Consider the following 26,197-nt stretch of genomic DNA (forward strand, 5'->3'; position numbering starts at 1 on the left):
CACCATCCCGCCTTCCCCGGCGCGGCCACCGCCCCGCCACGCCCATTGGCCAGTCCCGAGCTGAGCATGCCTATGAACATCGCCGAGTCCTTTCCCCCGGTCCGTCCTGGCCTGGGCTCCCTTTCCCTCCGTGACACCTGACCTCAGATCCCCTCCAGCTCCGCGTCCGAAAGAGTTGCTTCTAGAGGCGCCTTGCCGCCCCACACCCCCAAATCTTCCCGCTAACCCCATGGTTCCCCAGCCCGGCGGGGGCGGGCAGGAGCGGTGACGAGGCACTTTTTGCAAGGAAGGGGAGGGGGTGTGAACAGACCAAGGCGTCCTGATGCGCGATCGGTTCGGCTTTGGGAACGGGGGCGCCGGGGTGGGACCAGGGCGCGGTTCTGGCCGCTACGGCGCCCCCGCCGCCCCCTACGCCAATCCTGTGGGTTTGGCAAAGCAGCTGGCAGGGACATTAGAGCCCATTAGTAAAGGCGAGGTTGCCAGGAGTGAGGGGAGGGAGCCCGCAGCCAAGAGGCACTGTGTGTGTGGGAGGCCTCAGCTGCCACAGCCCTTAGAGCAGGTGGTCAGCACGTGGGGGGGGGTGGGGAAGGCGAGAAGGAGGTTCCCGGCAACAGATGGCACAGGCAGGGCTGAGGCTTTCAGACAAGGGGGTGCAGGGGGGCTGGCCATCTGCACCTGGAGGCCGCTGGCGAGCTCCTCCCCCTCTCCCCCCAACCCTAGCGCAGAGAAAAGAGCTGGGGGAAGGGGAGGGCTGCTTTTATTCCGATTGAAGATTCAGCTCCCCCCCACCCCGCACCCCTACCTCTCCAACACACTGAGAGGCTGGAACCCGGGAGAAGGCAGCTGTTGGAGGAGCGAGGGAGGCAGAGGTGAGGACTGCCTCCAGGACCATCTCGCCTTCCACGGGAGGCTTGAGGCAGAGGTGAGGGCTCCCCCTGATGAGTCTGATCTGCATAACGACATGCAGCGGCCCAAGGCTCCCTCAAATGTTGGCAAAGATAAGTTAACCGCTTCCCTGGCTTAGTTTTCGGATACCCACTTTCGAGTGGGGAGGTGCAGGATCTAGGGCACGAAGTTGGGAGTTCCCCAGCCCCAGGGATCCTGAGCTCCTGGGCCAAGGAGGAGAGCCAGGCAAGACTGGGAAGCCCAAGGGGGCTCCTCTGACCCAGGGCAGACGGGGAAGGGATAAGAGGCACTACAGCAGGGTACGGCCTGCTCTGGGGACTGAATCCCCCATGGAGGCTGTCATGAGGGATCCACCCAGGAGTCCCCTTTGGTGGGGAGGCTGCCGGCAGTGGCTGCGTCTGGCTGGCGACTGGCCCAGTAGCGGTGGTAGGTGTCCTGGAAGAGGTCCCTGCAGGCGATGTGGGCTCGGAGGTGGGCACAGGCCAGGAAAGCCCCTGCCAGCTTGCGGTGCAGGGCATAGGTCTCCTCGGGTGGGGGACACAGCCGGTGCCGCAGCAGCACCGGGATGAGGTCCTGTATGCGGCGGGCCGTTTCCCCCGACCCAAAGTCATAAGGGCCCTGGGTGGCGAAAGGCTCCCCCAGGATCATCACTGCCTCCACGTGGGCGTCGGAGAATGCCTGGGAGTGGGGGTGGGGGGAGAGCAAAGGCAGCCAGTGTGGACATAGAGCCCTCTGCATAACCCAGAAACAACGTGTAGCCTCCACTCCCTCCAGTCTCCACCATCAACACAAGCCCCGACTCCCCCAAGAGTGAGCAGCTTCCACTCCTTCCAGAGCCTGGACTAGACAAGCAGCTGCCTATTCCCCGAGTAAGCACCCCTTACTTCCCTGCAGAGCCTCCAACAGACAAGTAGCCCTCTACTCTCTCTACAACAGAGAAGCGGCCTTCGCCCCTCCTGAACAGATCCACGGTGCCCATGTTCCCAGGGTTCCTGAGAAGTCAGGCAGCCACCTCCCCCCACTCCTCCCCAAAGCCCCCAGCATGGATAAGCATCCCTCCTAGAGTCACCCACTCCCCAGGTATAGACACACAGCCTCCATTCTCCCTAGTGGAGACAAGCCCCTCCTAGAGTCCCCCAGTCCCCGGGTATCGACATGCCCCATCACCTACTCGAGTTCCTCAGTGGAGATAAGCAGCCCCCCACTGCACCCCACCAACAGACACCAGCCCCTTTCTCCCCCAGTGTCTCCCCACCTTGGTTTCAAAGCCTGTGAGGAATTTGAGGTCCCTGGACTTCTGCAGGACACAGTCTCTGTCTCCATCAGCTGCAGCCTTCACCACCTGGGGAGACGGGTGGGAGTTAGAGGGACAAAGGCCGGGGCTCAAGGGGGCTCTGGAGAAGAGGAGCTGGAAGCCTGGGCCTCCCATGTACCCACCTCCATTCTCATCTGCCTGGGCCCTCCCTCACCTGGAAGCTTCCTGCTCCCAACTTTGCCTGTCTGTGACTCCCTTAAAGACTCTTCCAGAGCCTGGGAGTGGAGGTGGTTAGGGATCCTGCCCACCTAGAGGGCAATGTGGGGCCTGCCCGGGAACTGCCACAGTGAAACAGTGCAAGAAACAAGTGTCAGGGCTGCTGGTGAGTCCAAACACTCAACTGGACGGGTATGAGCGTGACCCAGAACTGCATCCAAAGTTGCCAGGGGCCATCTCTCTGTCTCCCACACTGGACTTTGAGCCCCGTGAGAGCAAGGATCCCAGTTGGGTTTAGTCGCACGGGGCACAGGGTCTGGTGCTGAGGAGGCCCTGGGTGAACCTTGCTTTAGCAAATGAGCGTGTGGAGCAGAGCAGCTCTCCAGCCATGAGCTCACACACACAGGGCAGGAGTTGTGGGCATGGAGAGATGCCCAGCTGGGGCCAGCTGGCTAGGGTTCCGTCCCAGCTCTGCCACCTGCCGGCCTGTTGGGCCTCCACTTTCTCATCTGTGAAGTGGGGATGCCAAAAGTGCCTTCCTCATGGGGCTGTTGGGAGGATAAAGAAGGTGATGCCTGTGGCCTGCCTGGCGCTGTGTCTCATGCAGGAAGCACCGTAAATACTATAATCTACCATTATTAAGAGGTGGGCACGGGGGTCCCTATTTCACAGAAGGGGAAGCAGACCCGGAGTAGGGAGTGGAACCGGGTCACACCACTCACTACTGGGTTGCCCTTTTTTGTGAGGAGGGGGATTCGGGATTAATTCCATTCCCTCTCTGCTCCCCCTGCCCGAGCATGTCTGGCCATCTGTCAGGCCTGTGGTCCTCAGAAGCCAGGGCTTTTATAAAGTGGCAAAGGCTGCAGGCCTGGGTGGGAGGGGAGGGTGTCAGTGGGGAGAAGAAGGGTCTCAGCTTTGTGCCTCAGTGGCCGGCAGAGAGGGCCCCAAGGGGCCTGTGTGTAAGGGGTTATCACCTCCTCTTCCTGTTCCTGTCTCAGAGGTGGCCCCACCAGTCCCCAGACCAGACCCCTAGACACCTCTGTCCCCAACTTCTAGCCCGTCTGCTCCCATGGACTGCCAGCTGGGCATCTCCCAGCCACCCCTCTGCCCCTCTCCACAGCTGCCCTGAGCTCCCACCCCCAGGCTTAGAGACCACTTCTTATTCAGAGGGAGTTTTCAAATTCTGACTGCATCCCTTCCCTGCTCAAATCTTTTCCACGGCTCCGCAGGGCACCTGGATACAGTACGAGCTGTAGAGCGCAGCCTCTAAAATCCGCAGTGATTTGCTGCAGCCTCGTCACTGTGCTGCCCCCCGACCTGCCCTCCCACTCAGAATGGGAGCTTCCTTTGGGTGCTCTAGGGCCTTACTACTACCAGTGTGGTCCCCATACGGGTAGCCCTGGCCTCACATGGGTGCGTGTCAGAACATAGCATCTTACACCCACCTCCAGACCAGAATCTGCACTTGCACAGGATCACCAGGCTTCACATGCACATCCAAGTCTGAGAAATGCTGCTCTAATGGGACTGTCCCTTATCACTGCCTCGTCTTGGCACATGTTGTCTATCTGAAATACCCTCCGAGCCTTTTCCCAGTTGGCCCCCCTCATCCCTCAGGTCTCAATGCTGACACTCCCTCCTCCGGGAAGCCCTCCTTGGCTCCCCAGGCTGGCTCAGGCTCCTCCTCTGGGCTCACAGTGCCCTGCGCTTCCCCCATCCCAGCCCTGTCCATGCTAGGTCCTCACTGTCGCCTCACTGACTATGAGTTCTGTGAGGAGGGGCCTAGGCTGGGCCCAGGTCACTGCTGTGTCTCCAGCTTTGCCTAGAATAGAGCTGGGCACAGAGGAGGGGTCAGAAAACATTTAGATTGGCTGGGCAGGAGGGCTCATGCCTGTAATCCCAGCACTTTGGGAGGCCAAGGCAGGAGGATCACCTGAGGTCAGCAGTTCGAGACCAGCCTGGGCAACATGGTGAAACCCCATCTCTACTAAAAATACAAAAATTAGCCGGGCGTGGTGGCACATGCCTGTAATCCCAGCTACTCGAGAAGCTGAGGCAGGAGAATCGCTTGAACCCAGGAGGTGGAGGTTGTGGTGAGCCAAGATCGAGCCACTGCACTCCAGCCTGGGCGACAGAGCAAGACTCTGTCTCAATTAAAAAAAAAAAAAAGAAAAGAAAAAAAAGGAAAAGAAAACGTTTAGATTGATGGCTACATGATTAGAGGACCCAGGGCAAATGTCCAATCTCAACAACGAATGAAATGGTATTCTCTGCAGCCTCTAAGACAAACTGACCCCAGTGGGTGGGAGAGACGAGCCAAGTACGTGAGGAAACACCTCCTGTAGACAGAGTTGCCCCCAGGGACACACACCTGGGCTGGACACCAGGGCCCTGGACAGCATGGGGTCTGGAGAGGTGACAAGATGGTCACTGTGGGCCTTTCTCTTAGGAGGGAGCTGGGCAGTGGTTGGAAGCTTGGGCTCTGGACCTGGACCACCTGAATTTGAATCCCAAGTCTGCTGTGATCTTGGGCACGTGACTTAACCCCTCCAGGACCCAGTTACTTCATCTGGCCTAAAACGGGCCTAAAAACGGTCCTTTTCGCATTGTGTTGCTGTGTGGTTTATATCGGTTCCTATACGTAAGCACTAAAGATGGAGCCTGACATATTAAGTGCTTGGTGTGTGCTAGTTGCTACGAGTATTACTATTATTTATTATTTCTTAATTCCAGAAACTGCATTTCGCCTTCTTACTCCTCTGCCTCAGTATATGGCTTGAGCCTCAGCCTTTCAGAGGCCCTGGGGTCTGGGGGAGACTCACCTCGATGTAATGGTCTGTGAACTCTGTCCCAAACTCCCGGCTTGCACCAAAGTCCAGCAGGGTCACCTGGAAGCAAGGAATGGTGAAAGGAATGCTGGGATCCCATTCACACCCTCACTGTCTATTGGGGCAGCCAGGATCTGTCTCCCTCCCCATGACCCTGCCTGCTCCTGCCAGAGTCCCTGCCTGGCTGCCTCACTGGGCTCCTGGCCTCATCTCCCGTTTCCAACCGACCCCCTAGCTGAAGGCTTTTTTTTCTTTTAGTTCTAATTGTTTATGCAATAACAAATTTTAGACCCAGAAAAAAAATCCAGAGAATAATAAAAGATATAGAAAAGTAAAATGAATACTCACAAATCCTGCCACCCAGCCTAAAATATAAAATACTCCCCATCCGGCCACACGTGGTGGCTCACACCTCTAACCCTAGCACTTTGGGAGGCCAAGGTGGGTGGATCATGAGGTCAGGAGTTTGAGACCAGCCTGGCCATCATGGTGAAATCCCGTCTCTACTAAAAATACAAAAATTAGCCAGGTGCGGTGGTGCGTGCCTGTAATCCCAGCTACTTGGGAGGCTGAGGCAGGAGAATGGCTTGAACCTGGGAGGTGGAGGTTGCAGTGAGCCGAGATTGTGCTATTGTACTCCAGCCTGGGCAACAGAGTGAGACTCCGTCTCAAAAAAAAAAAAAAATACTCCCCATCCACGTGGAGCCTCCTGTGTATCCCGCCCTGATCACACCTCCCCCAGGTCCCCAGGGTCACCTCTTTCCTACAATCATTATTAAATTATTTCCTGAAATTCTCATTTATGCATTTCTATATTTTCTATGTATGTGTACAGCTGTAAACAATCTAGAGTAATGGTGTGCATATTTTCAAACTTCACAGAAGTGGTATTTACTGTCGTTCTCCTGCAACTTGTGCTTTTTGCCCAGCATGGTTTTGCGATTTATCCCTGTTGCCATGTGTCGCTCCAGCTCAGTCACTCATTTCACACTGCTGTGTAAGGACTTCGTTGCGTGAATCTATCACAGTGCATTTATCTGGCTGAGGAATACTGTGGTTGTTTCTGATTTTTTTTCCTTCTTTTTAAATATGTTTATTAGTTATAAACTCTGTTCTGACATTTTTTTTTTTTTTTGAGACAGGGTCTTGATCTGTTGCCCAGGCTGGAGTGCAGTGGCACGACCATGGCTTACTACAGCCTCAAACTCCCACGCTCAAGTGATCCTCCCGCCTCAGCCTCCTGGGTAGCTGGGACCACAGGTGCACCCCACCACACCTGGCTAAGTTTGAAACATTTTTTGTAGAGATAGGGTTTCACTACGTTGCCCAGACTGGTCTCGAACTACTGGGCTCCAGTGATCCTCCCACCTCAGCCTCCCAAAGTGCAGAGATTACATTAGTGAGTCATCTCACCTGGCCTGTTTCTAATTTTTGTGCTCAATGAACACCTGTAAGAATGTTTCTAGGGCAGTAGAGTTTGAACTGACCACAACCCACAGTAAGAAATTGTTTCTACTGGTGGCTGGGCGTGATGGCTCACACCTGTAATCCCAGCATTTTGGGAGGCTGAGGGGGGCGGATCACCTGAGGTCAGGAGTTCAAGATCAGACTGGCCAACATGGTGAAACCCCACCTATACTAAAAATACAAAATTAGCTGGGTGTGGTGGCGCACGCCTGTAGTCCCAGCTAGTTGGGAGGCTGAGGCAGGAGAATCACTTGAACCCAGGAGGTGGAGGTTGCAGTGAGTCGAGATTGTGCCACTGCACTCCAGCCTCCATTCTCAACAAGAGCAAAACTCTATCTCTAAACAAACAAATAAATAAAATTATATATATATATATATATATATATATATAGAGAGAGAGAGAGAGAGAGAGAGAGTTTCTACTGGGCGTTCATGCAAATGCACACAAAAACGTCAAACAAAAGTGTCCCAAGGCCAGGCGCAATGGCTCATGGCTGTAATCCCAGCACTTCGGGAGGCCAAGGCAGGCGGATCACCTGAGGTCAGGAGTTCGAGACCAGCCTGGCCAACATGGTGAAACCCCATCTCTACTAAAAATACAAAAATTAGCTGGGCGTGGTGGCAGGCACCTGTAATCCCAGCTACTTGGGAGGCTGAGGCAGGAGAATTGCTTGAACCTGGGAGGCGGAGGGTGCAGTGAGCCGAGATCACACCATTGCACTCCAGCCTGGGTGACAAGAGCGAGACTTCATCTCGGGGAAAAAAAAGAAAAGTGTCCCAAAATAATATGGATCCCTCCCATCTGTGACATACTGACATCATCTATTCCATAAAAAAAAAAAAAGTGCTGGTGGATCATGAGGTCAGGAGTTCAAGACTAGCCTGGCCAAAATGGTGAAACCTCATCTCTACTAAAGATACAAAAAATTAGCCAGGTGTGGTGGCGGGCACCTGTAATCCCAGCTACTTGGGAGGCTGAGGTGGGAGAATTTCTCGAACCCCAGAGGCAGAGGCTTCAGTGAGCTGAGATCGTGCCATTGCACTCCAGCCTGGGCAACAAGAGCAAAACTCTGTCTCAAAAAAAAAAAAAAGTCCTGTTGGAAACCAATAAATTGATGTCAGGACTCCTATCACTTGGAGTTGGGTAAACATATCCCTGGGGTATGAACCTAGGAGGGGACACAGGGTGTATGCACATTGTGGAGAAAGAAGAGGCAAGGGACTAGGGCTGGAGACTCCGTGGGGCCACAGGATGCTCAGCAAAGGGTTCAGACTTGATTCTGAGGGGGCTGTGAAGCTGTAGGAGGGATATCTTGACCAGATTTGTGCTTTAGAAAGACCCCTCTGGGGACAAAATGGGGATAGACCACTTTGGAAAACAGTTGGCAACCCCTGATAAAGGTAATGATGTATCCACCAACACTCAAGTCTGCAGGTCCAAACCTTCACTACAGGTCTTTGTACACCCCCTGCCCTCTGCTGGGAACACTCTGCTCTCTGGATGGTTGTCTCCTTTTCCCCTGTCCCATCTCAGCCTTTTTTTTTTTTTTAAATAGAGCCCAGGCTGGTTTTAAATTCCTGGCCTCAAGGGATCCTCCTGCCTCAGCATCCCAAAGTGCTGGAATTACAGGCATGAGCCACCATGCTCAGCCTCTGGTCTCAGCTTTTTTTTTTTTTCTTTGGTGAGACAGAGTCTCGCCCTGTCACCCAGGTTGGAGTGCAGTGGCATGATCTTGGTTCGCTGCAGCCTCGACCTCCTGGGCTCAAGCCATCCTCCCACCTCAGCCTCTCAGTGGCCTCAGCTTTAATGGCACTTGCTTTAAGAAGCCTCCCTTAATCCCTGCTCACCCCACAGTGAGTCAGGCACTTTCCCTGGGATCCCATAACTTCCTGTGCCTCCCCCAACTCCAGCCCCCACCCCTCTGCCTGTGCCTCCCCCATCCCGGTCCTGACCCATCTGGCCTGTGCTCCTCATTGTGGTTGGTACGAACCACTCTAGGTCATCGCTGTGTGGTGCCAGGTCCCCCCACTGGACTGGGCACTCTGAGAAGGCAAGGGTCAGGGATGTCTTTTTATTGCTGTCAAGAGGCAAGGGCAGGTGATGGTGTGTTCTGTATGGATGACGAGTGTGGTAGTGATGGCTAACTGCCTTCCAAAAGCTGTACTTCCCCTCTGTGCTGTCACATTGCCACCAGGAACCACTGCCTAGCCAGGGACTCCATTTTCCAGCATGCCTTGCACCTAGGCAGGCTATGTCACTAGCTCTCACTGATGGAATGGCAACGGAAGTGCTATGTCCATTGCCCCAGGATGAGCTTAGTGTATTTAGCCTGGGCATTACTTTTTCCACTTCTGGCCAAAGCAGTTAGGCAGGGGGCTACCCTCAACCTCTCTTACCCTTTCCTTGGGAAGCAGAGCGTTGCAAGGCCCCAGGGATGGCAAAACCACAAAAGGGAAGGAGCTGGGTCCCTGAATCCCACTTGGAAAAGGGCCACCCCTGCCTATTGTGGGGGTAATCAACTGCTATTTTGTTGAGCTACCGAAATATCAAGGAATATTTGTTACAACAGCAAATGTACCCAGACACACATCACTAGGAACCAACCTGGTGGCTGGAGGCATCATACAGGAAGTTGGCCCAGTTGGGGTCAGTCTGCATGAATCGGAACTCAAACAGCTCCCGCAGACACAGCGTCAGGAGCTGGAAGCAAATCTGGGGTGGGGAGAATTAACAGGCATCTCAGTGTGATCTCCCTTGTGGTGCCACTGCTGGCCTGGAGAGAGACCATGAGCCTGGCCCACCCGCCCTGGGGCCATGCCCTTCCCACTGTGCCACCAGACAGCATACCTGGTTCCGCAGGTCCTGGCTTAGGCCCTGGCACTGGTCCAGGGGGACCCCTCCAGCCAGCTCCATGCCCAGCACCCGTGTCGTGCACAGCTCCTTAACCACGGCTGGGACCCGGAAGAAGGGGTCATTTGCCAGCAGCTGCCTGGGGCAGAAGGAAAGGGAGGAAGGGGACTTCGTGCTTCAGGCTTGTGACCCAGCTTGAGACCTCCTCCTTGTGCTCTCAGAAGTCCTCCATGAACAGTCTGCGCCATGCCCTCCCTCCTGCCCATCTCTTGCTGCTGTCTGCCCTGGGTGATGACCAACACCTGGCTGGACTGAGATTTAACAAGTATCTCCAAGGTGCCTACTCTGCACCTGCCTCTCAACTGGGTGCTGCTGGAAACCCAGTCACCACTTCCCTACCCGAAACCCTTCTATGACTTCTGGTTGCCCCAGAAGGATGAGTTCAGGTGTATTTCAGCCTTTGCATTACTTTTTCATTAATTTATTAATTCATTCATCCCAAAAGTAGTCACTGGTATCAAAATCTGTGAAGTCTATAGTGATACCCATGGGTCAGTCCTTGCAATCACTACTCTGAACACAGGTAAATAGCGGGAAAGAATCTTCTGTGTCCATCCTTGTGCTAAATGATGCTGGGGACAGAGCAGTGAATGAACCAGTCCCTGGACCTGGCCCCCAACCCCGAGACCACACTCTCACAAACAGACGGATTATAGATTGAGGTAAGTGTGTTGGCTGGGTGCAGTGGCTTACACCTGTAATCCCAGCAGTTTGAGACACCGAGGTGGGAGAATCGCTTGAGCCCAGGAGTTCAAGACCAGCCTGGGCAACATGGTGAAACCTCGTCTTTATGAAAAACTACAAAAATTAGCTGGGCGTGGTGGCCTGCGCCTATGTTCCCAGCTACTCAGGAGGCTGAGGTGGGAAAATCACTTGAGCCTGGGAGGTCGAGGCTGGAGTGAGCTGTGATCTCACCACTGTATTCCAGCCTGGAAAACAGAGCGAGACCCTGTCTCAAAAAAATAAAAGAAGTATGTCTATGTAAGATTTGGGAGGCAGAGAATATGAGCAAGGTCTCTGGTTGAGGATCCGTGGGATGGCTGGAGGAGAGTGAGGGAGAACAGGAGGGTGGTGTGGGGTTTTATCCTAAGGGCACCCGGGAATCCTGTGGGGGACGGGGGGGTCTCTGGCCCATCACCCCACTTCACACTCTCTTCCTTGAGCTCCTCCTTTGGGGTTTGTATTTTTGTCCTTGTTGATAAAAATCTCTGATGTTTGAACTGCTCCTCATGAACCGGAGCCATGTGGGGCATTTAATCGGCACACTCCCCTTTCATCCTCACTCCACAGTGAGGGGATGCTCTCTGGAGGCCACTGTACAGATTGTATGGATGCAGGCCACGTAACCTGTTAAGGGCTGACCCAGGATTTCATCCCGCATCTGAGTCTAGGGTGTGTGCCTCTAACCACTGCCTTCTACTGAGCTTTCACTCTCTGTCTACAGAGCTTGGCACGTTTTAGGCTGTCAATAAATGTGTGAGCCACACTGTGGAGGACCCCACTGAGGTGCCATTAATTGCTACACATCAGGATGCTTCCAAGATATAACCACATTGTTCCACGTAGCCATAGTTCATGCATTTTCACTGCTACGTAATATTCCACAGATGAATATACCGTTGCTTATTTGTCCACCCTGCTGGATAAACTTGATGGATATGGGTTGTTTCCAGTTTGGGGCTGTTGCAGACAAGCGTTCTAGAACAGTCTGATGATGGATACTGGCAAAAGGGTCCCTAGAGTGTTCAGCAGGGAGGGCAATCGTTGGCTTGCAGAGTTCTTGAATATAAGGGCTTATGTGATGATGCCAACCTGTTCTCAAAATGCTTCTACCACCTTCTCCCACAACCTGCAGTGCAGAAGGGATGCTGTGGAGCCCACTCTCTCTACCTCCCAGTGCTGTGGGCTCCTTGCTCTCCGTCAGTCCAGCAGAGGTAAGAGTGTGTCATTGTGTAATTAATTAAGTGCCTGTGTCGGACCACAGTGGATATGCGGCCCATCTGACACAGGAGAAGACTGCCGCTTGGGAAGTGACCTGCCCAAGCTCACAGAGGACAAAGGGGGTAAGCGAAGTGATGGATGAGTGGAAGGATGGATGAACAATGATTGAAAGAAAGAGAGAGTTTGCCCTACCCCACAGCTCCAGCTGCCAGAAGCTGAGGGGGCAGCTACTTCCCACCCAGCCTGGGAGGGAGGGAAGGAGGGAAGCTCAGGGCACTCAGCTCACCTGAAATTCTGGGCACAAGCCGCCTCACGACGGTAGTCACACTCCCAAGCCAGCTCCTGCTGCAAGGCCTGCAGGCTCTGCTCGGCAAACAGGCCTGTGGGGGAGGTGTGTCAGCCAGGGAAGGGCCCCGAGCGCCCACTGGTGGATGCCTTCTCCTGCCAACCCTCTCTCTCCTGTCTCCCGCGCTGTCCCTCACAGCTCCTACTCTAGGCCTGTGACCCACATCTGTCCCTCTCCTGTCTCCCACGCAGCTCCTGCTCCTGCCTCTGACCTGCATCTGTCCCTCTCCTGTCTCCCCCGCTGCCCCTTGCAGCTCCTGCTCCAGGCCTCTGACCTGCATCGTATCATCTGTCTACACATTTCCCTCGTCCTTCATAGCACCACAGGGTTCCCCGGGGTCTTCCGAAGCCTTTTCTGGGCTCTGTCTCTTGCACATGCCTGCACCCCAGTCCCTGGCAGCTCTTTCAGAGTCACGCCTGCCTCTATTCTGTCTCCTTTTCATACTGACTCTCACGTTGCTCACTGCATCTGAATCTCACTTCTGGGCCTGGCTTTCCCTCTCCCTCTCCGTCTCTTACACAAACACAACCCACCCTCCTTTCTCTAGGCGCCTCCTCACGTGCCATCCCCAGGACTGTCCTTTTCTGCTCTGCCGCACCTACAATCCCGCTCCCTGCATGCACACCCTCTGAGAGTCTGCTGCTGTATCTTGGCCCTGGGCTCCCGTCTCTCTAAGGCTCTGTTAAAATCCATAAGGCTTTTCCCACACCTGCTCATGCTCCCTGGGCTCTCCCCGCCTTGGTGTCCTTTCTGTCTCTGACACTCCCGCTCACAACGCCAGCACACCCTGCCCGTGCTCTCCTCTGGGCTCCCCCTCCTGCTTTCTCTCTCTGGGCATAGCCCCTTTGGGAGGTCAGCAGAGGAGTGGGTGGGCGCCTCACCCGCGGGCAGGGCCGCGCTCATCTTGAGTACCGCCAGCAGGTTCTGGACATCGCTCTGAATGCTCTGGGCTATGCCGGGGTACTGTAAAGGGAGAAGGGAGGGAGAGAAGGTGGGAGTCACTTCTCTGGGCTAGCAGGGTGCCCGCCCCTACCCTGCCCAGCCTCCCCTCTCACCTGGATCTTCACGGCCACCTCCGTCCCGTCCCTCAGCAGGCCCTGGTGCACCTGCCCAATTGAGGCAGCGGCAAAGGGCACCTCCTCCAAGGAGGCCACCTTGGCCTGCCAGTCCCTGCCGAGCTCCTCTTCAAGAACTCTCTGCGGGGAGTGGTCACAGCCATCATCATTGTGGCAGAGTTCATTCCCCAGGCTGAGTGCTTTACGTGTTGATAACCCCAGCACTCACCACATGCAGGGCCCTGGGCTAAGCTCTTGGCTGCCACCCCCTTTGCAGATGAGGAAACTGAGGCTCAGAGAGAGCTCCCTTGTGCAAGTGACTAGCCAGGCACTGGCAGACTGTGAGGCTCAGCCTAGCCTGTGTCCCCTGAACCTGGACTCCCTGGGCTGTTGTGGGGATTGCTATTATTTATAGTTAAGACTCATAACAATCCTTTTTTTTTTTTTTTTTTTGAGACAGGGTCTTGTTCTGTAGCCCAGGCTGGAGTGTAGTGGCACTCTCACGGCTCACTGCAGCATCAACCTCCCGAGCTCAAGCCATCCTCCTGCCTCCTGAATAGCTGGGACTACAGATATGTGCCACTGTGCCCAGCTAATTATTACTGTTATTATGTTTAGTAGAGACAAGGTCTCACTATGTTGCCCAGGGTGGTCTGGAAGTCCTGAGCTCAAATGATCCTCCCACCGCAGCCTCCCAAAGTGCTGGGATTACAGGCATGAGCCATTACACGTGGCCAACCATCCTTTATTATGCTCTTATATGTTATTATTAACTCACAGTTACTGTGATCAAGAAGAGCTAAAATTTACAATGGGCTTCCTGTGGGCCAGGTCCTATTCAGAGTGGCCCAGAGAGAGGCAGTACCTGCCTGGGGCCGCATGGCGAATAAGCAGAACAGGGATGGGAGAGCAGGTGGGTGGCGGAATCCTGGATTCCATGCCTTACCCAGTTATTAGAACAGCTCATGTCCTGGGCACTTACTTGGTGCCAGGCGCCGTGCCAACCTATTACAGACACGATCTCCTTTAATTAAAAAAACAGTAATAATCACAGCTAACACCTGCATGTTGCTCACAGTGAATCAGGGGCCGTTCTCAGTGCTCAGTGTAAACTGATTTATGTGACCCTATGATGTGGGTGTGGCTGTCACTATCGCCATTTCCCAGGGAAGGGAACTGAAGCACAGAGAGGTCAGGCTGCTGTTCCCTGTTTTAATCACCACAGCAATGCTAGGAGGTGTGTACTCTGGTGATTCCCATTTTACAGATGGGGAAAGTGAGGCTCAGAGGCAGGGAGTGGGGCAGTGAAGCCAGGAAGGTCAGGCAGGTCAGAGGAGATGGAGCCTGCCTCCCTCACCGCCCTCCCCCACTGGGCACTCACCAGCATCTGCCAGCGGGGCATGAAGTCGGCGCTCTGGCGGACCCGCTCAAAGATGTGCTGCAGCTGAGGGCTGATGAAGCTGTTGTCTTGGGAGACAGTGGAACCAGGGGGGAAGTAAGCGAAGAGGTGAGGAGGGACCCCGTGTGAGTATCTGAAGTTGGGGCCTGTTGGTGGGTAGGGCTGGGGTAGAAGGGAGGTCAGGGGTCAGGAGTCGAGGGTCATGCTGTACCCTGGATGCTGAGCATCTGGCCAACCTTGAGGGCGGCCCCTCGAACTGTACATAAGGTCTGCACAATCCGCTCGGCATTGGCCTCCGACAGGAAGGGGCTGGAGTCCAGCCCAGAACCACCCTCTGGGGAGAGAACAACCATTAGAATTATAACCACAAATATCATCACTGCGGCCAGGCCCGGCGGCCCACGCCTGTAATCCCAGCACTTTGGGAGACCCAGGCGGGATGAACACAGGAGTCTGAGACCAGTCTGGGCAACAGTGACATCCTTTCTCTATTAAAAAAAATATATATCATCTGCACACCAACAGGAATGGCTAAAACGAAATACGGAGGCCAGGCTTGTTGGCTCGCGCCTATAATCCCAACACTGGGAGGTCAATGCAGGAGGATGGCTTGAGTCAAGGAGTTCCAGACCAGCCTGGATAACAAAGCAAGACCCTGTCTCTAATTAGCTGGGTGTATGGTGGCATGTGCCTGTAGTCCCAGCTACTCAGGAGGCTGAGGCAGGAGGATTGCTTGAGCCCTGGAGGTTGAGGCTGCAATGAACTGTGATCGCACCATTGCACTCCAGCCTGGGCAACCAAGCAATACCCTGTCTCGGGAAAAAAAAAAAAAAAAGAAAAGAAAGAAAGAAAAATAAACATAAGTTAAAACAAATTGCAGGAGAGTCAAAGAGTAACTACTACAGTATTGAATAGATGAGCTATCACTACACACAACAGCCCAGGTGGGTCTCAAAAATGTAATGCTGAGTGAAAGCAGCCGGGTGCATGAAATCATCACCCAGTTACACTGATATAAAGAGCAAAACAAGGCCAAACAAATCCAGGGTCCAGGAGCCAAGACAGAGGTCACCCTTGGTGAGGGGAGTGACCAGGTGGGGACATGAGAAGGGCAACGATTCTCGAAATGTGGGCCAGGGACCCCTGAGGGTCCCTGAGACCATTCAGAGGGGTCTGAGAGATCAAACTATTTTTATCGTAACATTAAGATGTTATTTTCCCCTTTCTGCTCTCATGCGTCTAAGAACATTCACTGGAGTTCTCCAGAGGCTCCAGGACATGTGAGGACACCATCAGACTGACAGCTGATGGAATGTGTACGTGTGTACTCTTGTGTTTTAAAAATATCTCTGTATTTTTGTTGTGTTTTTGAGACAGTGTCTCACTCTATCACCCAGGCTGGAGTGCAGCGGCACAATCATGGCTCACTGCAACCTCCTGGGCCCAAGTGATCCTCCTGCCTTAACCTCCTGAGTAGCTGGGACTACAGGTATGCACCACCATGCTTGGCTAATATTTTTACTTTCTGTAAAAATGGGGCCTCGCTATGTCACTCAGACTGGTCTCAAATTCCTGACCTCAAGGGATCCTCCCGCCCCAGCTTCCCAAAGTGTTGGGATTACAGGCGTAAGCCACCGCACCTGGCCTAAAAATTTCTCAGTTTTAATTTCTAATATGGTAGACATTGATAACTATAATCCACATAAATAAGCTCTTTGGAGGCTCATTCTAACAGTTTTATTGAGAAATAATTCACATACTGTTATAATTCACCATTTAAGTTATATAATTCAATGATTATTAGTATATTCACAGAGTTGTGCAAGCATCACCAGAATCAATTTTAGGACAGTTACACCACGCAAAAAAGAAACCTGGCTGGGAGTGCTGGCTCATGCCTGTAATCCCAGCACTTTGGGACGTCGGGGCGGGATCACTTGAGTTCATGAGTTTGAGACCAGCCTGGGCAATATGGTAAAACCCTGTTTCTACAAAAAATACAAAAATTAGCTGGGCATGGTGGTGCATGCCTATAGTCCCAGCTACTCAGGAGGCTGAGGCAGGAAGATCACTTGGACCCAGGAGGTAGAGGTTACAGTGAGCCGTGATCCCGCCACCGCACTCCAGCCTGGGTGACAGAGTGAGACCTTGTCTCAAAAAAAGAAAAAAAAAAAAGAAACCCTATACCCATTAGCAGTCACTCTTCATTTCCCCCAATCTCCCCAGGCCTTGACAACCACTAATCTACTTTATGTCCCTACAGATTTTCCTATTTTGTACATTTCATATTAATGGAATCATTCAATATGTGGTTTTTCAGTGTGTGGTTGCTTTTACTTAGTGTTTTTTTTTTTTGAAACAGTGTCTCGCTCTGTCTCCAAGGCTGGAGTACAATGGCATGATCTTGGTTCACTGCAACCTCCGCCTCCCCGGTTCAAGCAATTCTCCTGCCTTACCCCCCACCCAAGTAGCTGGGGTTACAGGCACCCACCACCACATCCAGCTAATTTTTTGTATTTTTAGTAGAATCAGGATTTCGCCATATTGGACAGGCTGGTCTTGAACTCCTCACCTCAGGTGATCCACCTGCCTCGGCCTGCCAAAGTGCTGGGATTACAGGCGTGAGCCACCGCAACCGGCCTCACTTAGTGTTTTCAAGATTCATCTACATTGCAGCATGTGTCAGCCCTTCATTCCTTTTTATGGCTGGATAATATTCCATTGTATGCCTATCACATTTTATTCATCCATTCATCAGTTTTAAAGGTGTGCAGGGATCCTGAGACCAAGAAGTTTGAGAGCAGCTATTCTAGGGTTTCTTACTCTGGGTACGGACAAATGTACTTTGTGAAAACGCACCAAGCCATACACTTACAGGTATGTGTACCTGGGTTTATATGCAAATTACATTTCAGCTTTGGCAAAACATTTATTTTTCTTTTTTTAATATGAACACTTTATGAATTTATGTGTCATCTTTGCACAGAGGCCGTGCTAATTTTCTCTGTCTCATTCCAATTTTTATTTATATGTGATGCTGAAGCAAGCACAGCACAACAAAGCAATTCTTAAGCCTTTATTAATTTTGAAGGCCAGTTGTGGTGGCTCACAGCTGTAATCCCAGCACTTTAGGAGGCCAGGGTAAGAGGATCTCTTGAGCCCAGAAGTTCAAAGCTGCAGTGAGCCATGACTCACCACTGCACTCTAGCCTGGGTGACAGCAAGACTCTATCTCTTAAAATAAAATTTAAAATAAAATAAAATGTTATTGAGCTCATTATTGAGCTGTTCCAGGCAGAATCCTAAGTGTCTTTGTGGATTCTCTGGCTGAATGCCCACAATCACACCTGGAAGTAAGAATTATCAATCCTTTAATTTTCAAGGTGAGAAAGCAAGAGACTCAAAGAGGTGCAGCACCTATCCCTGGGTCACATAGCATGGAAGTGGCAGAGTGGGGTGTAGACTCAGGCTGGTCATACCCAAACCCTAATCCTCCACCTACCCTCAACTTTTTATTTTGAAAAAAATATCCAGGCTGGGTGTGGTGGCTCATGCCTGTAATCCCAGCACTTTGGGAGGCTGAGCAGGGAGGATCACTTGAGGCTAGGAGTTCCAGACCGGCCTGGGCAACATGGCAAAACCTTCTCTCTACAAAAAATACAAAAAATTAGCCAGGCGTGGTGGCACGTGTCTATAATCCCAGCTATGCAGGAGGCTGAGGTGGGAGGATCACCTGAGCCTGGGGAAGTCAAGGCTGCAGTGAGCCATGATCGTACCATTGCATTCCAGCCTGGGTGACACAGCAAGACCCTGTCTCCAAAAAAAAAAAGACAGAAAAAAATCCAAACAGAAAAGTTGCATGCATAATATCGTGAACACCTGCACACCCGCACACCCTCCACCTCGATTCAACATGGTACCATTCTGCTTCGTCTGCTTTATCTGTGCGTGTACCCACACACTTACTATTATTATTTTTTGCTGACCCACTTGCATGTAGTTGCACTTAAGCTTTGCTAAGAATAAGGATATTCCCCTACACAATCACAGTACCATAATCACATGTAAGAAAATTAACACCAATTCCTTAACATCTGCCATGCAGTCCATATTCAGATTTTCCATTTGTCTCCAAAAAGTCTTTCATGGCTGTTTTTTCCAAACTGATATGCAATCATGGTTCAGATGCTCCATTTGTCAAATAATGTCTCTTTCATCTGTTTTTAATCTGGAATATCCACCCCCACTTGTTTCAAGACATTGACTTGTTGAGGGAACCTCCACCTACCCTCAACTTTTTATTTTATTTTTTATAACGGCAAATGCTACACATCTAATTCCATCTCTGATGTACACAGACCCTCGCTGGCACTTCTATTTTCAGCTTTCTGCTCCTGCTCCAAGTTAGGAACTCCCAATGGCTTAAATGTTTTCTCAGATAATCTAATATGTGGCTGGGCACAGTGGCTCATGCTATAATCCCAGCACTTTGGGAGGCCAAGGCGGGTGGATCATGAGGTCAGGAGTTGAAGACCAGCCTGGCCAACATGGTGAAACCGTCTCTACTAAAAATACAAAAATTAACCAAGCGTGGTGGCATGTGCCTATAATCCCAGCTACTTGGGAGGCTGAGGCAGGAGAATTGCTTAAACCTGGGAGGTGGAGGTTGCAGTGAGCCAAGACTGCGCCATTGTACTCCAGCCTGAGCGACAGAGTGAGACTCCATCTCAAATTAAAAAAAAAAAATCTAATATGCTTCTCTTAATCATGACCCTGATAGTGGTTTAGGCCTGTTCAAAGCACTTCACAATGACTCTAAGAGGTGGGTAAATTATCACCACCTCCATCTTCCGCATGAGGAAACTGGAGCTCAGAGGGGTGAAGTCACTTGCCCCAGGTCACACAGCAAAGCCAGGATCTGAACCCAGGCAGTGTGGCTCACTCACCTGACTGCAGACGACCTCCTGGCATGGACTTCTTAGCCATCTCGGCCAGTACTCCTAGCCCCAAGCCCACAGCCAGTCCTGGAGTGCAAGAGAAGAACATGAGTGCCCGTTTGCCTGGGGTGCCCCCAGCCTAACCCACTCTCCTTTCTCAGTTTTTCTCCAAGAATGCTTGTCTCCCAACTCTTTTTATTTTTTCTTTTGTTTGAGATGGAGTCTCGCTCTGTTGCCCAGGCTGGAGTGTGGTGGCACAATCTTGGTTCACTGCAACCTCCACCTCCCGGGTTCAAGCGATTCTCCTGCCTCAGCCTCCCGAGTAGCTGGGATTACAGGCACGCGCCCACCACGCCTGGCTAAATTTTTTTTGTATTTTTAGTAGAGACGGGGTTTCACCGTGTTGGCCAGGCTGGTCTCGAACTCCTGACCTCAGGTGATCCTCCCGCCTCGGCCTCCCAAAGTGCTGGGATTATAGGCATGAGACACCGCACTCAGTCTTGTCTCCCAATTCTTTGTATCTCTGTTTCCAAATCAGTCTCTGACTCTGTTCCTGCATGGGGCTCCCTTTAAGGTGCAGCTTCCTCTTTCTTTAACCCTTTCTCCATGTCTCTGTCTCCCTCCCAGCAGTTCTCAGCCCTGGCTGCACATTCCAGTTACCAGAGGAGCTCCGGTAAATATAATGCCCAGACTCCACTCCCCAAATTCTGATTAAATTGGCCTGAGACATGGGAATTTGTGTTTTGTTAAAAAGCACCTCAGATAATTCTAATGTGCGATCAAGGTTAAGAAGGCCCCTCGGCCGGGCACAGTGGCTCATGCCTATGATCCCAGCACTTTGGGAGGCCGAGGTGGGCAGATCATCTGAAGTCAGGAGGTCGAGACCAGCCTGGCCAACGTGGAGAAACCCTGTCTCTACTAAAAATACAAAATCAGCCGGGCGTGGTGGTGCATGCCTGTAATCCCAGCTACTCAAGAGGCTGAGGCAGGAGAATCGCTTGAACCTGGGAGACAGAGGTTGCGGTGAGCCGAGATCACACCATTGCACTCCAGCCTGGGAAACAAGAGAGAAACTCCGTCTCAAAAAAAAAAAAAAAAAGAAGGCCCCGAAACAATTGTCCTAGGTCCCTCTGTCTTCTGGTGACTCTTCTTTCTCTGTCCACACCTCCTCTTCTTTATGCTTATCTCTTTTTCTTTTTAGAGACAGGGTCTCACTCTGTCGCCCAGGCTGGAGTGCAATGGCACCATCATAACTCACTGCAGCCTCAAATTCCTGAGCTCAAGTGATCCTCTTCCCTCAGCCTCCTGAGTAGCTGAGACCACACGTGCATACCACCACGCTCACCTAATTTTTTATTGAGACAGGGTCTCACTATGTTGCCCAGGCTGGTCTGGAACTCCAGAACTCACGTGATCCTCCTGCCTCGGCCTCCCAAAGTGCTGGGATTACAGGTGTGGGCTACCAGGCTTGACCTCTCCCTTTCTAAGCCAGTTATTTCTGCATCTCTTGCCTTCTCCCCATTTGTCCTATCTATCTAGATCTCTTTCTCTCTTTTCCTCCCTTTGATGTTATCTCTCCATCTCTGATTTCCTCTGCTACCTCTCCTCTTGTCCCTAAAGACGTCTCGGGTCTCTCTCCTTCTTTTGTTGTCACCATCTCTGTCAATTACCATATCTGGCATTTTCTGTGTCCTTTCTACATGTCAGGGGCTGTTCCCAGTGCCTTCTGTGCACTTACTAATTTTTGTCCTTACATGAGGTCTCCACCTTCATAAAATGTATTTTACAGAAAACTTCCATTTTACAGAAAAGGAAATTGAGGTTCAGAGAAGTGAAGTAATTTGCCCAGAGTCACGTCACAAAGCGAGGACACAGCAGAGTCATCCCTTAATCCCTGGGCAGCCTGGTGCCAAAGCTCTAACCAGTGCCTTTGACTGCCTCTGCAGACTGTGAATCTATCTATGTATATATATATAGATTTTTTTTTTTTGAGACAGAGTTTCACTCTTGCTGCCCAGGCTGGAGTGCAATGGTGCGATCTTGGTTCACTGCAATCTCTACCTCCTGGGTACAAGCAAGTGAATCTATATTTTTAAAACTTGAACCAGGCGGGGCATGGTAGCTCACGCCTATAATCCCAGCACTTTGGGAGGCTGAGGCAGGTGGATCACGAGGTGAGGAGTTCGAGATCAGCTTGACCAACATGGTGAAACCCCATCTCTACTAAAAATACAGAAATTAGCGGTCAGGCACAGTGGCTCACGTCTGTAATCCTGGCACTTTAGGAGGCCAAGGCAGGCGGATCATGAGGTCAGGAGATCGAGACCATCCTGGCCAACATGGTGAAACCCTGTCTCCCTAAGAAAAAAAAAAAAAAAAACAACAAAAAATAGTTGGACGTGGTGGCGTGCATCTGTAACCCCCGCTACTCAGGAGGCTGAGGCAGGAGAATTGCTTGAACCTGGGAGGTGGAGGTTGCAGTGAGCTGAGATCATGCCACTGCACTCCAGTCTGGGTGACAGAGCAAGACTCCATCTCAAAAACAAAAACAAAAACAAAACTTGAACCATGATCAGCAATAAGAAGACATTTACGTTATAACCAGTGCAGACCAAGGTATATGTTTCACGAAACAAGACTTTCCCTTGCTCTACAGGTGCATGCATATTTTCTGTCCTATTCTTCTTTTTAAATGCTGGTTGCAACCCACTAAATTATTTCATGTGACTTGCACGACATCCGGCTGTGTAACCCAAAGTCAAGTGACCTCCCCTTTGTTAGCCTCAATGTCCTCATGTACGGAATAGAACACTCATTGATTCAGTGCAGCATGTGTGTATATGGGACACTGCACATTACAGGTTCTCAGTAAATGTTATTATGGCCAGGAGCAGTGGCTCATGCCTAGAACCCCAGCACTTCGGGAGGCCGAGGCAGGAGGATCGCTTGAGACCAACTTGAGCAACATAGGGAGACCCTATCTCTACAAAAAAATATTTTTTAAATTACCCAGGCCAGGCACAGTGGCTTCCCGGGCACCGTGGCTCACATCTGTAAATCCCAACACTTTGGGAGGCCGAAGTGGGTGGATCACTTGAGGTCAGGAGTTCAAGACCAGCCTGGCCAACATGGTGAAATTCTGTCTCTACTAAAAGTACAAAAATTAGCCAGGCGGCCAGGTGTGGTGGCTCACGCCTGTAATCCCAGCACTTGGGAAGGCTGAGGCAGGCGGATCACAAAGCGAGGACATAGCAGAGTCATCCCTTGAACCCTGGGCAGCCTGGTGCCAAAGCTCTACCACTGCCTGACAAACATGGTGAAACCCCGTCTCTACTAAAAATACAAAAATTAGCCGGGTGTGGTGGATGCATGCCTGTAATCCCAGCTACTTGGGAGTGTGAGGCAGGAGAATCGGCTTGAACCCGGGAGGTGGAGGTTGCAGTGAGCCAAGATGGCGCCACTGCACTCCAGCCTGGGTGACAGAGGGATACTCCGTCTCAAAAAAAAAAAAAAAAAAATAGCCAGGCATAGTGGCAGGCACCTGTAATCCCAGCTACTCAGGAGGCTGTGGCAGGAGAATTGCTTGAATGTAGGAGGCAGAGGTTGCAATGAGCCAAGACGGTGCCACTGCACTCCAGCCTGGGCAACAGAGCGAGACTCTGTCTCAAAGGAAAAAAAAAAAAAAATTACCCGGGCGGATGGTGCACAACTGTGGTCCCAGCTACTCAGGAGGCTGAGGCGAGAGAATTGCTTGAGCCCAGAAGTTTGAGGCTGCAGTGATCGCGCCACTGCACTCCAGCCTGGGTGACAAAGTGAGACTCTGTCTCAAAAAAAAAAAAAAAAATTATCATTTATGTTCCTCTTGATTTCTCTTGGCCTTGCAGGCCCTTGCCTTTGTCTCTCTTTTTTTGTCTCTCTCTCTTTCCTGTCTCTGATTCATCCTCTCCCTTGCTTCAATCTGTAAATGTTGCCCTTTCTAATTGAGGTCACACCAAGATCCCCCAAAGTCACACCTACCCCCAAAGTTGGCCAAGCGGCTGATGCGGGAGGCAGGCACCTTGCGTTCTCGAGAGCGGTCACTCAGCTGGGAAATGGGGACAAGGTCTGAGGGTGGGAAAGTGGGCATCGTGGCCAGAGAGTGCAGCCACTCTGCCACCACACCCTTCCCCAAGCTCAGGGGGCCAGCAGTATTCGTGGGGTGTTGCTGGGTGGGTGGGGGTAATGATACCTGGGGCCGGGGTGTCTTCCTGGGACGGGCCTCCCGTGCCCTGCGAATGTCCTCCTCACCCAGGCCTCTCCCAGGCCCATCCTGGTAAAACTTTTGGGCCCAAGAACCTCCACATGGTCCCTGCAAGAGATATACTTTGATAAGGAGGGGAGGACATGGGATCACCTGGCCCTTCTGGACCCCTCCTGTCCTTTTACCCTCTGAAGTCTCCCTCAGCCTCTTCCCCTTGGGGACCTGCTCCCTAGCCTCTTACCCAGCGGTGGGGCCCAGGCCCCAGGGCCCCACAAGGCCAACCAACAGTCTGGCCCAGCTGTCCACCGGTCCCCCGAAGTAGGCCCCCCACCTTCAGCCACATTGCCTGGAGGAGAAGAGGAGGGATTATTCAGGTGGGAGTTGCCTGGCTTCTTGGCCAGGCCCCCATGTTCCTCTGTGTCCACCCTCTCTCATTCCCACCCACTAAATACTTCCTCCACTATTAATAGATTCCCACAGTTTCTCCTGGTTCTCCCCTGGTTGCTAGGAACCCTTAGCTCTTCCTGCAGGCCTCCCAAAACCCACTTTCCCCCCTCTCCCAACCCTCGCCGTTGCTAGGGTCCGCCCCCGTTACTAGACACCCACAGTTCCTCAGGGGCTACCTCTCCACTTCTCTGAAACCCCCCTCGTTGCTATGCACCGCCTTCCCCTCTGTTGGCCCTGTAGGCACCCGCAATTCCTCCGGTGTCCCCCCGCCCGATCCCCACCCCGTTACTGAGCACCTCCCCCCGTTGCTAAGCACCCACTGCTCTCAGCCTCCGAGTCCGCAACCTGCTGGGGCCCTCCTGTGCTTCCGGGAGCCTCTGTATGCCCGCCCCCTTCGGCCAGCCAACCAATGGCGCGGCAGCAACTCGCTGACTGGCACGGAGTTTCTCCATCTGTGCGCGGGGGAAGGGGCCAGAGAGAGGCCCTAGCGATGGAGCCTGGAATTAAGGTGGGCATCGGGGGCCCATCTGGGGGGATTGCTGAGGCATCGCGGGAGCGCAAGCGTGCCCTGTCTGCCCTTCCACTCACCTCAAAGTGCCTTGTACGCGACAGACCCTTCTGTTCCCTACACTTTCTTGCAAAGTCTCCCTTACAAACCTGACGCCTCTCTTCTGCACGAATATCTTGCCAACCCCCCTTCTTATTTTTACCCCTGGCAGGCTCAACACAATTCCTTTGAATACACATTCTTCCCAGCAAACATTTCCCTTGCACATGGAGCCCCTCCACTTTGCACAAACACCCACATTCTGGCACCCAACCTCCTTCCTTGTGCATATAAATCCCTTGCCTTGCTTGCCAACTGTTTCCCGCTCACGCCTTCAACTCTCTCGTGTACATACCCTCCCCCCCACTTGCACACTGAGTCTCTGTTCCCTCACACACCCTGTTCTCTCCGCTCCCCGCCCACCTGCGGAATGGTGCGACTGGGAGCCCTCTGCTTCCTGTAGGCCTGACATTTCCCAGAACACACTCAGCCAAGATTCCCAGTGCTGAGTCAGGAACCTTGGCATCCCAGAAAACCACCTCCCATCCTATCTTTCTTTCTCTGTGTGTGTGTGTGTGTGTGTGTGTGCGCGCGCGCGTTGGAAAGCCTGCTCTCCCCACAACAGGCTGACTCACCCACTTCTCACAGTCTGGAATAGAGGCATCTGGTTGGGGCATCTTTCCCACCACTGGGAGAGGGAGGGATGCCGATGCTTCCCCCACAGAACCCCGCTGCCCCAACCCCTCTTGTCGGGAATCAGGCCTCTTTGTCTCTATTCCCGTACTGTGTGACCTCAGAAAAGCCCTCATCCCTCTCTGGACTTCTCCTTCCCAACCTGTATGAGGTACTAGGTGGGCTCCTGCCTTCGATTTCTCTCATTGGTCTGTGAAAAGGTGACTCATTTTAGAGCCTTGGACCTGTGCCCAATGTCTCCCCCAGTTGACTCAATTTCAAGACAAACCACCTCCTCTCCCCCTTCAGAGGTGAACGGCTGACTCAGGAGCTGGGTGGCAGCTCAGCCTTGGGGGCAAAATATATCAAAATCACCTAGGACAATAAATAATCCTACTGGGCTACAACTGACAGTGCCAGGCCCGGGGCCACATGCTTCACATACATGAGATCATGTCAGATAGCCCCGTAGCTGCAAGCAAAGGGTAGAGGCCGGCAGATCTCTGAGCCTCTGTTCTCACGTGTAAAATGGAGCCCTGGCATCCCTATTGTTCAGCCTTGGAGAATGAACTGAAATCGTGTCAGGGTCTGATACAGAACAAGTACTCTATACATGACAGAGATTTCTTACGGAAAATCCAATGGAGCGTAAGTCATTTGCTCAGGGTAGCGGAGCTGGGAACTGGCAGAGGAAGGTCTCGAACCCACACCCGTGGGAACTCCAAGTCTTTGAAAGTCCGTCCCGCCCCTGCGTGAAGAATGGGCGCGCGGCTGGACTCGTCACCGGGGGTTTTAGGGAAGGTTGAACTTGTCATTCAACCGTGTAGGGAGGGTGGTTTAGTCACAGGGGTGGAGGGAGGGGGCCCACTGGCGCGCCACCAGGACCCCGGTGCCCTAGATGCATACCTGGCCGCGCTTCGGATGCTCAGAGGCAAACCCCCTCCCCTTGGGAGGCGGAGTCGGACAAGGCTCCGTCTCGTTCCGTTCCGTCACGTCCGGTGGGGCGGGGCTTCGGGGCTTTCCCCTTTGAG

General features: G+C 52.5%; 1 protein-coding gene and 1 pseudogene across 2 annotated transcripts, besides 4 other annotated features; both read right to left on the reverse strand.

Moving 5' to 3' along the window:
* Positions 31-968: an enhancer, noted in NCBI's record as "H3K27ac-H3K4me1 hESC enhancer chr19:41196725-41197662 (GRCh37/hg19 assembly coordinates)". NCBI's record gives its function as "activates a minimal SCP1, AML or CMV promoter by ChIP-STARR-seq in naive H9 embryonic stem cells {active_cell/tissue: H9 hESC(naive)}" and the evidence as "EXISTENCE:reporter gene assay evidence [ECO:0000049][PMID:30033119]".
* Positions 315-554: a silencer, noted in NCBI's record as "silent region_10643". NCBI's record gives its function as "represses an Ori minimal core promoter by ATAC-STARR-seq in GM12878 lymphoblastoid cells {active_cell/tissue: GM12878}" and the evidence as "EXISTENCE:reporter gene assay evidence [ECO:0000049][PMID:35858748]".
* COQ8B (coenzyme Q8B) lies at positions 741-26,097 on the reverse strand. Of its 2 annotated transcripts, NM_024876.4 has the most exons (15): positions 25,798-26,097; positions 23,742-23,846; positions 23,489-23,608; positions 23,278-23,344; positions 19,270-19,347; positions 14,536-14,658; positions 14,307-14,392; positions 12,926-13,066; positions 12,752-12,833; positions 11,811-11,904; positions 9,521-9,662; positions 9,278-9,385; positions 5,200-5,265; positions 2,162-2,248; positions 741-1,584 (listed from the first exon to the last, which is right to left on the reverse strand). In NM_024876.4, exons 2-15 carry the CDS (start codon positions 23,841-23,843, stop codon positions 1,246-1,248), a joined length of 1,635 nt encoding a protein of 544 aa, NP_079152.3. In that variant the 5' UTR covers positions 23,844-23,846; positions 25,798-26,097; the 3' UTR covers positions 741-1,245. The 2 variants fall into 2 exon arrangements, with proteins under 2 accessions (NP_079152.3, NP_001136027.1); NM_001142555.3 differs by lacking the exons at positions 14,536-14,658; positions 25,798-26,097 and adding an exon at positions 24,264-24,330.
* Positions 17,266-17,374, reverse strand: RNU6-195P (RNA, U6 small nuclear 195, pseudogene; annotated as a pseudogene).
* Positions 24,844-24,893: a silencer, noted in NCBI's record as "silent region_10644". NCBI's record gives its function as "represses an Ori minimal core promoter by ATAC-STARR-seq in GM12878 lymphoblastoid cells {active_cell/tissue: GM12878}" and the evidence as "EXISTENCE:reporter gene assay evidence [ECO:0000049][PMID:35858748]".
* Positions 25,564-25,643: an enhancer, noted in NCBI's record as "active region_14663". NCBI's record gives its function as "activates an Ori minimal core promoter by ATAC-STARR-seq in GM12878 lymphoblastoid cells {active_cell/tissue: GM12878}" and the evidence as "EXISTENCE:reporter gene assay evidence [ECO:0000049][PMID:35858748]".

The sequence above is a fragment of the Homo sapiens genome, chromosome 19 (assembly GCF_000001405.40).
Source record: "Homo sapiens chromosome 19, GRCh38.p14 Primary Assembly".
In the NCBI taxonomy this organism is placed as follows: Eukaryota; Metazoa; Chordata; class Mammalia; order Primates; family Hominidae; genus Homo; species Homo sapiens.

Bases quoted from the DNA above. Each gene is read 5' to 3' on its own strand.
- COQ8B (NM_024876.4), bottom strand. From the start codon at position 23,843: ATGTGGCTGAAGGTGGGGGGCCTACTTCGGGGGACCGGTGGACAGCTG. The intron at 12,834-12,925 runs GTGAGAGGGGAG...CTCCCTTTACAG, and splicing joins AGGTGGCCGTGAAGATCCAG to TACCCCGGCATAGCCCAGAG. The intron at 9,663-11,810 runs GTGAGCTGAGTG...CTTCTGCCCCAG, and splicing joins GCTTGTGCCCAGAATTTCAG to GCAGCTGCTGGCAAATGACC.